Below are 14315 nucleotides of genomic sequence, written 5' to 3'. Positions count from 1 at the left end.
AAAGTCCTGAAGCCACTGGATTTTGGTGCCCCCCCTGCTGCCACCACTTGTGCTGCCCACTGCGGGCTCCTGACCCTGCCCAGCCCGGCCGCACCCCCACCTGGCTGCTGTTGGAGAAGGCGTACAGGGCCAGGGGCTTCTCCCGCCGGTTGATGAACTCGATGGCCTCGTCCAAGCTCTGCACGTTCACGATGGGCAGGATGGGCCCGAAGATCTCCTCCTGCATCACAGGCTCCATCTCCTGCACATCCACCAGCACCGTGGGGGCTGCAGGCACCAGAGACAGCTCAGCCCTGGGGCCACAGTCAGGACCGCCCCCAGGGTGGGGGTAGAGGTGGGGACAGGGCCACAGGCCAGGGCTCTAGGCCAGGATCCCAAGGTCTGACTTCCCAAGGCTTCAGGCTTTGGAGTGTTTAGGGAAGAAAGTCTCCCCACAGCCCCCCAGAAGGGACTCTAGAGCTTCCCCAGCCTGCTCAGGGCCTGTGGGACACAGAGAATCCCCCGACCTTGGTCTCACAGTCAGGGGTGATGGGATCTTAGAACCCTTGGAGTTCATGAGGCAACAGCGTCCCAGAATGTTGGCGCCGCAGTGTCCCATGAGCTGCTGAGCCGTACGGCCCAGGAGACTGGGGGCTCAGGACGGGACTCTCGGAGTTTAGAACCTGGGGATTGTGGGCTCGGAGAATCTGAGGTTACAGCCTTTCAGGATAGCCAGTGGTGGGATGGGAGTTCATCTTAGCACGCTGAGCCCTGGAGCCCTGGGATCTGAGCTCAGCGAATCCAAGGTGAGGGACCAGAGTTTGGCCTCATAGGGCCACAGACTTAGAAGCACAGAGACGGAATCATGGCACTGGAGCTGTGGCTCAAGGCCGGGCTCTGGCAGTGGGGCCAGGTTTCAGGCGCGGGTCCAGAGTTGTGGCCCAGCCTTGGGCCCTCCAGTGAGGAGGGGTCTTGGCCCAGGTGGGCTGTGGTAGGGGCAGCAGGACTCACCGATGTAGCGATCGCTCTCATCGCTCTGGCCCCCAATGGCCACACGGCCGCAGCCCAGCAATGCCCGCAGCCGCTGGAACTGTTTCTGGTTGATGATGCGGCCCAGGTTTGGGGAGCTCTGGGGGTCGTCGCCATAGAAACGGGTGATGGTGCTCTGCAGGGCAGGCAGCAGCCTCTCCTGCATCTCAGGGCTGCATAGGACGTAGTCGGGGGCCACGCAGGTCTGGCCGGCGTTGAAGTAGCGGAACCAGGCCACGCGGTTGGCCACGGTCTGGGGGTCGCAGTTGTCGTCCACGTAGCAAGGGTTCTTGCCCCCCAGCTCCAGGGTGACAGGTGTCAGGTGCTTGGCGGCAGCAGTCATAACAATCTTGCCCACACGAGGGCTCCCTGGGCATGGAAGGAAACCAGAGTGGCCGTTCAGTGACCTGGACCAGGCGGGATGGCCCAGCCCACGGCCCCGCTCCTCCCTGGAGAGGTGGTGGAGTCAGCGGGCAGCAGCCCTCGCCTGGCCTTTCCTTGTTCCTCACTGCCACCCTGCAGCCCAGGGCCCTGCTCATCCTTCATCAGGACCAGCCCCTAAGCACAGAGTCTCAGGAGGGAATGGTGCACGGCTGCTATCGGCCCCCAGGGTCCCCCTGCTGAGCCAAACCCCTTGGCTCCTCCCGCCTCTGCTTGTGACCCTGGCTGACCCTGCAGGGGACTCTTTGCAAAATGCTGCATGGAACCCCTCCCCACCCATCTCCTTTGGAAACTTCGGGGATCCCTTATCACCCAAGGATGGAGTCCAGCTCTGTCTACGGCATTCAGGTCTCTCTTCTCTAAACCTAAACCTGGAAGTTCTGCCACCTGCCCAGCCCTTTTTTTCTGACCCTTGAGGTGGACTGTCCCAGGCTGATGCAGGCGTCCCCATGTCCTGCCTGGCTTGGCCTCACCTCTCCTCTGTGCTGGCCTCCAGGGGCCCAGCAGTCTCCGCATGCACACAGCCTTCTCTGCCCTAGCCCTGTCTGGGCCTCAAGGCCTCCTCTCCAGACCTGACTCGGGGACCACGCTGCTGCGTCTGTGGGGATGGCCCTGGCATTTCTCCCCCTTGTGGTCAAGGATTAAAGCCGGCAGGAGCCACTGTGCCTTCTCTACTCTCACCCCTGCCCCATCCTGGCACAGTGCTTCCTGGGCTCTGTGGTTCCTTCCAGGGCTCCTTTGCCTTTGCTGGGAGGCGGCCAGGTCAATCCTGCCAGGCCCTTCCCCACGACTGCCTCGACCTGTAAGGCGCAGACTCGCCTGCCAGCACCACTGTCTTCCTCTCGCTCCCTCTGCCCCTCCCTAGCTCAAAAACTCGAAGCCGGGTGTGGTGGCTCATGCCTGTGATCCCTGCACTTTAGGAGACCAAGGCAGGAGGACTGGTTGAGGCCAAGAGTTCGAGACCAGCCTGAGCAACAGAGTGAGACCCTGTCTTTACTAAAAATACAAAAAATTAGCCGGGCGTGGTGGTACATGCCTGTCACCCCAGCTACTTGGGAAGCTGAGGCATGAGCATCACTTGAACCCAGGAGGCGCAGAGGTTGCAGTGAGCCAAGATTGTGCCAAGATTGTGCCACTGCCTGGGTGACAGAGCAAGACTCTGTCTCAAAAAAAAAGAAAAAAAAAGTGACCTCTGGCGTGGATTTCTCCAAGGGCTTGTGTGCACATTCCAGCCTGTCCCCATCCTGGCCAGCAGGGTGACCCTGGGCAGGACACTGAGGCCCAGTCCCTCATCTGCCTGCAGAGAGGGCTGTGGGCACCAGTAGGGTGGTGTCTAAGAGCCTGGGGGGCAGCAGGGTCACGTATGAGGGTCTGGGGACAGTGGGGGCAGAGGCTATGGTTCCTGACGCTGTGGTTGGCACAGTGGGCTGGCCCTGGACATGGGACTCCATCCCTTCCTAAGGGGTCCTGGGGGTCCAGGACTGCTCCCAGCCTGGTCCAGAGAGAGAGAGAGAGGAGAATTCAGTCTCCCTGTGGACTCCCAGAGTTAGGGACAGGACCCCTGAGCAGCTGTCCTCCCCGACCCCAGCCTGTCCCGACCCTCGTCCCGGCCTCACCTGTGAAGAAGATGTAGTCGAACCTGTGCTCTAGCAGCTGCCCCGTCTCCTGGGGCCCGCCCAGCACCACAGCAAAGCAGCTCTGCAAGGCGGGATGGGTGAGGCTCCTTCTGGGACCCCAGCTCCGAGAACACAAGGGAGCAGCCCGCCCTGCCTGGACCCTGCCCTGCCTCCACCCCGCCTGGCCTGACCCAGCCAGGGCTCTAGGAGGGTTGGGTGGAGGCAAAGTGGGGAGAAGGGAGCTCCCCAAGGTTGGCTGGCATTGGCAGGCCCAGCTTGGAGTCCAGCTGGCGCTGGAGGGGCTGATGCCAGGGCCAGGTGGAGGCAGACACGGAACCCCTGGGCAACAGGCTGCCCTCGCTGCTCCTCAGAGGGAAACTGAGGCTGACAGGGGCGGTGACTTGGTCAAGTTTACACAACTCAGAAGAGGCAGGATTGAGGTGGGGACTCGGGTCTGACTGACAGGCCCTTCCATGCCAGGGGCTGCCCAGCCCTTGAGCCTTGCCTGTTCCCGCTCTACCTGCCCGGCAGCCCTGCTCACCTGGTCCACGTATTGGGGCAGCACCTCGGCCAGGATCTTCTCGACGTTCTTGCTAATCTCCGATGGCTTCAGCACCACACAGTTCCCTGCAGGGCAGTGCAGGGAGAGAGCTGGAGGAGGCGTAGCCAGCTCCTGGTCTCCACACACCTGCAGGGCAGGCATCAGCCTCACCCACTTTCAGATGCAGAACCTGGTTCAGAGAGGTAACATGACGGGCCCAGGGCCACACAGCCCGGGGACGGTGGACCAGACAGTCCTCTTTGCCACCTGGGCCAGTTCTCCCATGTCCTCCTGGGATCCATGGGTGGCCCTGAGGCCTCGAGCGGAGAAGGGTGACCGGAAGGGGCAGGCCCAGCTCTCACCTGCAGCGAGGGCTCCCACGAGGGGCACCAGCGTCAGGTTCAGCGGATAGTTCCAGGGCGCAATGATGAGGACCAGGCCAAAGGGCTCCTTCCGGATGAAGGCGGAGTCCAGCTGCGTGGCCTGGGCCGGGAGCCGGGGATGAAATTAAGTGCTCAGCACCCCGGCCCCTCAGCAGCCAGCTCCCACCCAGAGGGGCCACCCTGTGGGAGCAAATATCCCCTGAGCCCCCTGCCCGCCTCAGCCCGGCCGGCTCACCAGGTTCTTGGGCACACGCTCGTCCTTCATCCAGGCCCGGAGGTTCCTGAGGGCCAGGGTGACCTCGCCCTGGCTGATGGCAACCTCAGACACCTCCGACTCGAAGGCTGACTGCAGGAAGTGGGTGGGGTCAGGGTGGGCCAGGATTCCCAGAGTTGGCAGGAGGGCACAGCCTCCTCCAGGCAGGGCCTGCTTCCACAACTCATTCATTCATTTTCATTCATTCGTTCACTCACTCACTCCATGTTCAGTGCGTGCTTCCTGTGTGAGGTGCTGTCTCTGTGCCAAACAGAGGGACCGGCCCTGAGGCCGACCTTGCAGGGGGCAGTCGTTCCATGTGAAAGTGAGAACGCTGACGGCTCCATTAGGACGTGGCTGTGCTAGGGAAATCATGGAGCAGGGTGGGGGTGGAGACTGCTGGAGCGTGTGGCTGTGGGCGTGCACAGGTGTGCACATGTATACATCCACATGAGCATGTGTGTGTGTGCTGTTTTTACAAAGCGGTCAGTGCAGGTCTCCAGGCGGCGGTCACATTGGAGCAGTGACCTGAAGTCAAGGAACAAGCAAGTCGTGGGTACTGGGAGGCGGCATACTTTGGGCAGAGGCCCTGGCGGCTGCAAAGGCCCCGAGGTGGCTGTGCGCTTGCTCTGCTCCTGTTTAGCAAGAAGCAGAGTGGGCAAGGTGAGGGGGCCAGGCAGCCAGGCAAGGACTCCTGAGAAGAGCAGGGATGGGATCTGACTTAGGGTTTTGTTTTTTTTTAATTTCAAAAAAAGTTTGTTTTGATTTTTTGCAGAGTGCCTTGCTGTGTTGCCTAGGTAGGTCTTGAACTCCTGGCCTCAAACAATCCTCCCACCTCAGTCTCCCAAAGAGCAGGGTGGAGATTGGTCCACAGGAGACACAGGCACAGCCACCCCTAGGTAAATGCTGTCAGTTCCCACAGCCCAGGGGCCAGGGCCACTGTCAGGCTTCTAAGCAGGAGTGAGGAGACCCGAATCAATAGGGACATTGTCCTGCTCTCGGCTAGCCAGTGCTCCCTGCCCTCTGCGCCCCAAGGGAGGAGAGACCAGCCAGGCAGCAGGCTGCAGGCCGCTGGAGAACAGGTCAGGGACACTGGGGCCAGGCTGGCTCCCTGGCTGAGGCAGCGCCTGAGGTTATGGGGTGCAGGCTCTCCCGGGTCAGGGCAGAGGGGGACGGGCCAGTGGGGTGCTGGATGGGCCAGAGGACCAGCGAAGCCCAGAGAAGGAGATGCCCTGCCTGAGGTCACTCAGCGAACCAGGGGCAAGGCCAGGGCTACAGCTGAGCCCCAAGAGGGAGGAAGACGCCACGCCCACTGGCACCTCCTAGCCACTGAGGCTGGGGGAAGGTGCCTTCCACACGGACTTTCCCACAGCCTGTGCTCTGGCCCCATGAGCCTGGTGGCCTGCCCGCCACACCTCCTAGGTCACCTGGGACCTGACTTTGGGAGACTGGGCTATTTTGAGCCAGGTTCAAACTCTGGCTCTGCTCTTCCTGGCTGCATGCCCTTGGGCAAGAACACACTCTCTCTGAGCCTCTTCTGGGGGCCACTGGGTGTGGTTGCCCAACCAGATTCACCAAAGGGTTAACTGAGAGGGTGCACGTGACGCTGGGCAGATGCTGCCTGCTGAGGGTGGGGACAGGGGGGTGACCAGGTCCAGAGGGAGGGACCAGGTTGAATGTTCTGGGCTACTGCTGCCTTTGTAGGGCCCCGCTCCTGCAGCTGGGATGGGAAGGCAGGAGGTGGAATCAGAGCCGAAGGGAGAAAAGGGACCAGACAGACGTCAGGTCAAGTCTCATGAAGGCCGGCAGGCGGCCGGTGGCAGAAGCTCAGTGGTGGCGGGGGAGTCAGTCCCCAGGGAGCCCAATGGGCTGGGGGAAGGTCTGAACACTACAGCCTTCAAGGCAAAGGGAGGAGATATTTTGTCCAGAGAATAGGAGCCGGGGGCAGCCCCTGGGGCAGATGTGCTGAGGCAGGGGCAGGTGGTGTCCTGAGGCAGGGGCAGGTGTCCTGAGGCAGGGGCAGGCAGGTGCATGGGCCCTGATGGGTGAGGGGTTGGGGGAAGTGTGTTTCTTGGGGTTCTGCCTTGGCTGCCACTGGGATTGGGAGGGGCTGAGGCCCCAAGCCTTCAGGGTCTAGACAGAGGCCATGATGCCTGCTGTACCCAGAGAGAAGGCCAAGGCCTCACGGCCTCCGAGGCCCTACATAGTGTGGCCCATACCCCAGACCTCATCTTTGCTGTTTCTTCCTCTCCCACCCCCGACAGCTATGCTGGCCTCCTTGCTGCTCCTCAAGCAGAAACACCCAGCACCTCCTGCCTCAGGGCCTTTGCACGTGCTGTGCCCGCTGCCATCTCCCCAGCATCCATGGGGAGCCTCCCCTCCATCTTCACGTCTCTGCTCTAAAGCCCCCTTCTCAGAGAAACCTTCCCTGACCCCCACATATACAACAGCACCCTGATCCTGGCCCCCTCTCTCCCCTTCACCCTGGGTGTGTCTCCAGGGCACATATTTCAACCCAATATGCTGTGTAATTATTATCTTTATTATTATTTTTGAGATGGAGTCTCACTGTGTTGCCCAAGCTGGAGTGCAGTGGTGTGACCTTGGCTCACTGCAACCTCCACCTCCCAGGTTCAAGCGATTCTCATGCCTCAGCCTCCTGAGTAGCTGGGATTACAGGTGCCCACCACCACATCCAGCTAATTTTTGTATTGTTAGTAGAGACGGGGTTTCGCCATGTTGGCCAGGATGGTCTTGAACTCCTGGCCTCAAGCGATCCGCCCACCTCGGCCTCCCAAAGTGCTGGGACTACAGGTGTGAGCCACCATGCCCGGCCTTGCTGTGCAATTATTTATTTGCTGTTTTATTGTCTCCGATAGAAGGTCATCTTCGTAGGCATGGGAACTGTGTTTTATTCTCTGCTATATCCCCAGAGCCTAGAACAGTACCTGGCACATAGTAGGTGCTCAGCAAATAGTTGCTGCATGAATACAGAAATAAGTGACTGGATGAATGTGCAAGGGTGGCTCTGGCCTAGGGGAGGAGCTGCTTTTAGCCCCGCTTCATGGAGGGCGCAGGTGTCTTCATCCCCTGCTGTCCCAGCTGCCCTCCATGCCCCCCTGCCCCAGTGCACCCTCTCATACCCCCAACCCCAGCCCACCTTGTGCAGGTCCTGGGCCAGTGCGTCGTGCAGAAGCTGCTTGTTTTCTTGCAGGAAGCGGCCCAGGCCTTGGAGCTGCGCAGCCCGGAACTCAGCTGGCCGCGTGCGCCCCGCGTGGAAGGCCTCCCGCAGTCGCCGCAGCGTGTCCCCAAGGGGGTCCATCCTGCCAGATGGGGTGGCATGAACTGGGTGGCCAGGGCTGCCCCTCCTTCATGGGCACCACCCAGCCGCCCCAGGGTCTGGGCACCCCTGACCTGCCTGCACCCACAGGGGCTTGCAGACACCTCTACCTTATACACACACAGGGACCCACTCAGATGACCCCACAGGGACTGAGGCTGCCTGCAACCCCTTTCACCCAACAGTGAGCACTCCCAGACACACATGAAGACCCTCGCACCACTCCCCTCTGCCATGGACCTGGAGGCGGCTGCAGGACTGGGTGTGGGCTTGGGGACAGCTGCTCCACCACAGCCCCCGAGGGTGAGCAGGCAGGCAGAGCGCCATGCTTCTTCCTGCCGCACAGAAATTAACCCCAAGCCATGGCCTCTGCCCTGCCCTGATGCCCCTCCTGGAGGCGGGGCAGCCTCACCCCTGCCAGTCTGAATGGTGTAAGCAGGAGCTTGATGAGTAGAGGGGGTGACTCACTGCCACCATGGCCACCACCTTGGAGCACTCCAGACACAGAATTCTCCGTCTTCCTCTGTCCCCAGCCTGGGGGCACTGCCCAGGGAGGCCAGGCCAGTGGGCAATAGCCTCTTCTCCCTGTGCCTCAGCTTCCTCAGGAAGAGGGGGAGAACACCTCGGGCCTCCTGGAGGCCCTGCTGCCCACCCTGCCGGGGCTGTGGTGCTGGGAGGCAGAAACAGCTGTGGGGGAGAGGATCAGGGCGGGGGAGAGGGCGTTCCTGCCTCCGTGCTGGTGCCAGCCAGAGCTGGCAGGCAGGGTAGGGGCCTAGACATTCCCCCGAGCCCTGCCTGTTTACTTGAAGTTCATCGGAGGAGCACTCTGACGCACTCGTTCCTCGGCCTGGTGCCAAGGACCCGTGGTGACCCTTTCCTCCTTCCCTCTCCGAGTCCCTTTCCTCCAGATCTCAGCTTGGCTGATGCTTCCTCCAGGCAGCCCACCCAGATTATGCCCTCATCCACTGTCACAGTGGCCCCTTGACTCTGCTCCCCAGCGTTCTGAGTTGTGCCATGTGATAAATGTCTGGTTACACTCTACCCACCTCCCAACCCTGTCCACATCTCCCTTATTTCCCCCTCATTAGACTGGGAGGCAGGCCCCTCTGTGCCTACTTATTTGAGACCTAGTGCTTGAAGCCTCTCATGTTACCGGTGTAATGATGGCACCTGCCAGCTAATGATGAGACCACACAGTCGGTTCTGAGCCCAGGGCCCAGCATCGGTGAGCGCAAGGCTGTGGGTGATTGTTAAGTGGCCACCTTGAGGGCGGGACCTGCTCCGGTCTGCAGGATGGCCCTGCTGGACCAGTGTGCTACTGAGAGCCTGGTCAGGAGCCCCAGGCCAGCCCTCAGCTGGAGTGATTGTGGGGCCAGGCTGAACCCACCATCTTCCTGCTCTGATTGGGAGAAGCTGGGCAGTGGCCCGCACACAGGACAGGCACCATGGTCCCCATAGGGGATGGCTCGTCACGGGAGCAGGACTGAGACCCAGGAGCCAAGAACGAGCCTCTCGAGCCACCATCAGGCCTGTCTCCGGGCTCTGCCTCTTACTGGTTGTGGGACCTTGGGCAAATCACTCACCTTCTCTGCCTCGGTTTCCTCATCTGTGAAATGGGGATGCTAATGGCACCTGGTGTCATTGTGAGGATTAAATGACATCACGCTGCATAAAACATTTGCTGTTGTGCCCACAGAAAGTACTCGACAAAGGTCAGCTCTGGGTGTTTTGCTAAGTAGCCTGCAAATATTTATCTCCCTCAACTCCGCACTCTCCTGGGTCCTTCTCCATTCTACTCTCACCTTCAGACTTCTGCCAGTGGTCAAAGGCAAACCACGCCTGTGCCTCTCTCACCCTTTGTAAGAATCTCTGCAGAAACCACAAAAATGCAAGGCACGTAACGTGAATGGTGGACTGTGGGCCGGGAGCTCTGTGGGGGATGGAGTTCTGCAGGGAACATTCCAGCAACCCTCCTAGCAACGCTGAAACCAACTCACCAGGGCCACAGGACACATCTCTCCCACAGGGCAACCAGCCCTGGCATTGCCCCTACGGGTCACTCACTCTGGACTGAGGCCCCCAGGGAGTGCCCAGGGCAGGACCCTGGCAAGCGGAGAAGCCAAGGCCGCCTTCTGCCTGAGATTGGGGGGATCCTGGGCCTGTTATCTCCCGAGGGTGCTGGGCAGCCATTGTGGACACACAGAATAGGGAACTCCTGAATCAGGCACTGGGCTGGGGTCCCCCAAGCCCACCCCCGCGGCACTCATCCCACAGTGTGAGGTTGTAAGGAGTGTGATCCCCATGCCTGCCCTCGCTCATTTCACCACCACGGCCGCCCACTGAGGGACCACTATTCACCCCACTGAAGGAGATGGAGGCTGAGGCTCAGAGAGGGCCAGAGCTTGCCTGATACCACCCAGCTCCTCACATTGGAAAACCCAAATCCAGAAGAGCAGAAGGCTATCCACCTCAGCTCCCACCTCCCTCACAGTCCCCTGGGGATGGGCAGCCAAGTCCTTGGGGGAAGGGACACTGGGCTGGGGCCTGGACGGCAGACCCAAGGCTGGGTGGACTCCGGTAGGCCAGCTGTGGGAGGGGTGACCGGTGAGGGGAGGTCTCTTGCTGTTTGGATTCCATTTCCTCGGCCTCCCTCCTCACTATTGCTGCCACTCCCCACACTGCTTAGGTTGTGGGGTCTGAGACTGCCTCTTGCCTCCTGCGGCTGAGCCACTGAGGTCCAGGGGCTGATGGGCCCAAGGGTCTCTGGGGCGTGGCCCCCCATCACAGGTTGAGGTGCATTTGGCCCAGACCTGCAGCTTCTGGGGTGGGGGGGAGTTGCCACATCATTTGGTGATGAAGATAGCGGCTGTTTCCTCTGGCCTGGGGGCCAGGGCAGGACCAGCCACTTCCTCTCAAGGCCACGGGCCTCTAAAAACAATACTCAGGTGCCCATGTGCTGGGCACTATGCCAGCCTGGGTGCTCGCTGTGGGTGCCCACAGGCTCCGGGAACAGAGTGGGGAGGAACGGGGCTGACATATCACAGGGAGTGAATGGCTGGCCGAGCCGCTGCCCCCAACCTCACAGCAGGGACCGTCCCTGGGCAGGGACTCCCTGCTCGTTCACACCCTGGCCTATCAAGTGGGTTGGATTCCAGGGAAACGGAGGCTCTGCCCGTTCTCTCATTCTTCCTGCCTCAGTTTCCTCATCTACACCATGGGCCTTCTAAGAGCATCCTCCCAGCATGGCATGGTCTGGGGGCCCAATGACCTGGGTTTAAACTGCAGCAACCACATGTGTGAGTGGGGAGACCTTGGGCAGGTTGCTTGACCTCTTTGTATTCACGTTTCCCATCTGTAAAATTGGGCACTGCCTGTGGCACCCATACCACTGTCGGGAGAATTCAAGCACTGGGACCCCGGGAAGTGCTCAGTATCCATGGAGGACGGATGTACCAGAGGAGGGCTCAGGGAGGAGACCCCTGGGGCAGGGGCCTGAAGGGGCCTTGATCCAAGGTGGGTGTTGGGGAGACAAGGACATCACCCTGAGACCCAACTGAGGACAGGGATGTGGTGACAGAGGGACTGAACATGGTGGGTAGAGGGCCTGGGGGACCCCCATCAGGGCAGCCAGAAGGCGGGGATCACTAGGCCAACTTCAGGGGACCCACAGGCCCAATACCGCAGGGTCTCCGATTCTGATCTCCTGCAGTGTAGCTTCATTAAACAAACATGATGAGAGGCTGTGATTTTGAACTGAGCTCCTGTACTAGGCCCCAACAGACCAGACCAAACCAAAATGGAGGCACTCATGCCAAATGCCACATCATCAAACCGAAGCTTTAAGGAAGCAGACAGAGCCCAAAACCACAGACCAGTTTCTCCGGGAAGCAGGAGATTCCAGTCCACCTGAGCCGGCATCATCAGGTCCCCTCTGCCTTACCCCTTAGAAAAAAGCAGTCCGCTTAGAAAAAAGCAGTCTGCAGCGATCCGGTATTAGGCGGTTTGGTGTTTCCTATTTTTCTGTTTCCTCCTTTCTGCCTTATGAACCCCCTGCTCTGCCACTGCCTGGTGGGAGCTCTCACTCCATTTTGTAGAATGGAGGCTGTCCGGATTCACGAATCATGAATAGAAGCCAATTTGATCTATAACTAAATGTGTTGTCATTTTGTCTTTTGATGGCCTTAAGCTGGATTTTCATGAGGCCTCCCAAAGCTCAGCAGCCCCTCCCTTGGGGAGCCAGGGACCAGCGTATCCCCTCATTGGTGGCTCGGGCCAACCCAGCCCCGGGTCACAAAGAGGCTGAACAGCCTCGGCTCCCTGATGGGGCACAGTTCCCGGGATGAGAAGTGCCTCCTGCAGGCGGGGCGGGGCTGGCTGGCCACTCCTTTCTTGGACCCTGACAAAGTCCATTGCTAAGAATGATTCTTTCCCAGAGTCATTCATGGCCACATCCCTGCATCAGCACTGGGCATGCAGGCTGGTGCCCAGGAAACGGCTGTTGCTGGAAGGGATACTTGACCCCTGTGGGGAAGGGGCGCACAGTCCTTCCTGGGGCAGCTGGACCCAGAGCTGTTCCCTTGGTTCCCTTGGAGGGTGTCCGGGAATCCCAGGAAAAGGAGGCGGTGGCAACCCAGCTCGGACAACGGAAGGGTGCCTGCTGGCCAGGGGGGTGCCCGGGACCTCGCTGCCACTCCCCAGATCTGCCTCTCCTCCTTCCGCTTTCTCCCCCAGCAGGCAGGCAGATGAGCTCAGCCAGGACACAGTGGCCTCTGAGTGCAGCTGCCGGTGGCTAGGCCCGCCTGGGCTGCCTGTAACCCGGAGTTGCTGAGCTGGACTCTGGCCCGACTGCTGGCCCACTACAGCCCCAGCCTCCCCGGGATACTCTACCTGAGGCTCTGCCAAGCTGCCCTTCCTCCTGGCTGTCCCGCTCTGCCTGGTGGCCCTGCTGTTAAGAAATGTCCAACGCAGGGCCAGTCCCCGGGGGAGGGGTGGGGCGGAGTTGCCCTAGCCTCGTGCCTGACTCTGGCTCTGGGCGGGCTGGAGGCTGCAAGCCAAGATTTCACCACCGCCTCCCTCGGGGGCCTCGACATCTCCTCCCAGACCACAGAGAAGAAGTCAACGCCCAGAGGGCGCCAGGCTAGAGCCACACAGCAGGGCTGAGCTCCGAGCTGAGGGGCAGCCTGAGGAGGAGGAGGAGAGGCTGTGCAGCAGGGCTGAGCACTGAGCTGAGGGCCAGCCTGAGGAGGAGGAGTGGGGCAGTGGGCCCTGGGAATCCCGGTGTGGGGTGGGGAACTATTATTGTATTAATTATATTCTATTATAATATTATGTGGAATGTTATGGCCCAGAATAGCAAGGAAGTCTCGACCCCCCACTCCCAGCCTTCCCTCAATGCCTCCCCTAAGGAATAAGACCACTACTACTCCTGCTGCCCTCCTCCTACCACCTTGCCTGGTTTACAAGACAGGAGGAAAGAGAGAAGGCAAAAAGTTAGAAAAAAACAGAAGTAAGAGAAATAGCCAGAAGACCTTGGCGCCACCACCTGGCCCTGGTAGTTAAAAAAAAGTGATAATAATATCAACCCCTGACCTAAACTACTTGTGTTATCTGTAAATTCCAGACATTGTATGAGAAAGCACTGCAAAACTTTCTGTTCTGTTAGCTGACGCATGCAGCCCCCGGTCACGTTCCCCGAGCTTGCTCGATTTATCACGACCCTTTCACGTGGACCCCTTAAAGTTGTAAGCCTTTAAAAAGGCCAAGAATGTCTTTTTCAGGGAGCTCGGCTCTTGACGCAAGTCTGCTGATGCTCCCAGCTGAATAAACCTCTTCCTTCTTTAATCCAGTGTCTGAGGTGTTTTGTCTGTGGCTTGTCTTGCTACACCCTACCCAAGACTCAGTTTCCCCTTCTGCAAAACAAAGAGGTCAGACCCAAAGGTGGCTGGAGTCTAGAAATACCATCTTAGGGACCATACCTCATGCCTGCTCCTCTCCCAGCGCCCTGTGCTTCCGTGTTCCTCCACACCACCCCATGGGCCGCCCCATTCATAGAGCCTGTCTTTCTGCAGATCTAACATTTTACAAACGAGGAAGTGGGGGCAGAGAGGGGGTGGGATGTGAACATGGGGCGTGTGTGTGGCAGAGCTTCTTGCTCCAGAGCTGGGGCTGCACCCGTTTCGGATGTCCCCTCTGCCTCCCAGGAGGAGTGCCTGCCTCTCTGCTTAGGACCGTGGTCATGATGCCACGTGTCGCCTTGGTGGTTCCTGTAGTCCCGATCTTCCTCAAGTTCGGCACAGGCAGCTGTGCCTAAGCCTGTCCCTGCCTGCCCCCAGCCCGCCCCGGATACACCTGTCAGAGCCAGCGTGCTGTGGGGATGATGTGCAAGCTGCTGTGGGTGTGGACAGGCAGGGGACAGGGTGACAGGTGTGGAGGAAGAGCCTCCTCTATGCCCCTTCCTGGGCCTGCCGCTGCTACCATCTCCCTGGTGCCCTGGGCCTCCGTAGCTCCCGGCCCCGGGGCCTCTGGGCCAACGTGGCACCTGGGAGGTGCTCATCATGGCCCCCCCCACCCGCCAGCTCCCTGCCTACCTGGGAGGGCGGTGAGGTCTTCTGGACCATGCCCACACCGGTGGCCCGTGATTAGATAGTTAGGGTGGGGGTGAAGGACTGCAGAGCCCCTGTCCTCTGTGTGGGATGGAGCCCCCAGCCACTGCCAGTCACGTGGCTCAGCATGT

The 14315-nt window shown here is 60.1% G+C and overlaps 1 protein-coding gene across 5 annotated transcripts in view, besides 2 other annotated features; it reads right to left on the bottom strand.

Moving 5' to 3' along the window:
• The window catches only part of ALDH3B1 (aldehyde dehydrogenase 3 family member B1), a 20730-nt gene extending 6415 nt beyond the window's left edge, over positions 1 to 14315 (bottom strand). The window contains exons 1-8 of one of the 5 annotated variants that reach the window (NM_001161473.3): positions 14170 to 14315; positions 7403 to 7565; positions 4225 to 4335; positions 3969 to 4089; positions 3607 to 3692; positions 3066 to 3147; positions 991 to 1377; positions 101 to 267 (exon numbers count right to left, since the gene is read on the bottom strand). In NM_001161473.3, the coding sequence (NP_001154945.1) occupies positions 101 to 267; positions 991 to 1377; positions 3066 to 3147; positions 3607 to 3692; positions 3969 to 4089; positions 4225 to 4335; positions 7403 to 7564 (1116 nt within the window). In that variant the 5' untranslated portion in view covers position 7565; positions 14170 to 14315. Of the gene's footprint in view, positions 1 to 100; positions 268 to 990; positions 1378 to 3065; positions 3148 to 3606; positions 3693 to 3968; positions 4090 to 4224; positions 4336 to 7402; positions 7566 to 12469; positions 12536 to 14169 lie in introns of those variants that run through there. The other 4 variants (NM_000694.4, NM_001290059.2, NM_001290058.2 and 1 more) reach the window with 4 other exon arrangements.
• Positions 7661 to 8555: an enhancer, noted in NCBI's record as "H3K4me1 hESC enhancer chr11:67781777-67782671 (GRCh37/hg19 assembly coordinates)". NCBI's record gives its function as "activates a minimal SCP1, AML or CMV promoter by ChIP-STARR-seq in naive H9 embryonic stem cells {active_cell/tissue: H9 hESC(naive)}" and the evidence as "EXISTENCE:reporter gene assay evidence [ECO:0000049][PMID:30033119]".
• Positions 12188 to 13016: an enhancer, noted in NCBI's record as "H3K27ac-H3K4me1 hESC enhancer chr11:67777316-67778144 (GRCh37/hg19 assembly coordinates)". NCBI's record gives its function as "activates a minimal SCP1, AML or CMV promoter by ChIP-STARR-seq in primed H9 embryonic stem cells {active_cell/tissue: H9 hESC(primed)}" and the evidence as "EXISTENCE:reporter gene assay evidence [ECO:0000049][PMID:30033119]".

This window comes from Homo sapiens, chromosome 11, assembly GCF_000001405.40.
Source record: "Homo sapiens chromosome 11, GRCh38.p14 Primary Assembly".
In the NCBI taxonomy this organism is placed as follows: Eukaryota; Metazoa; Chordata; class Mammalia; order Primates; family Hominidae; genus Homo; species Homo sapiens.
The sequence above is the reverse complement of the archived record's forward strand: the minus strand, read 5'-3'. Positions and strand labels throughout refer to the sequence as shown.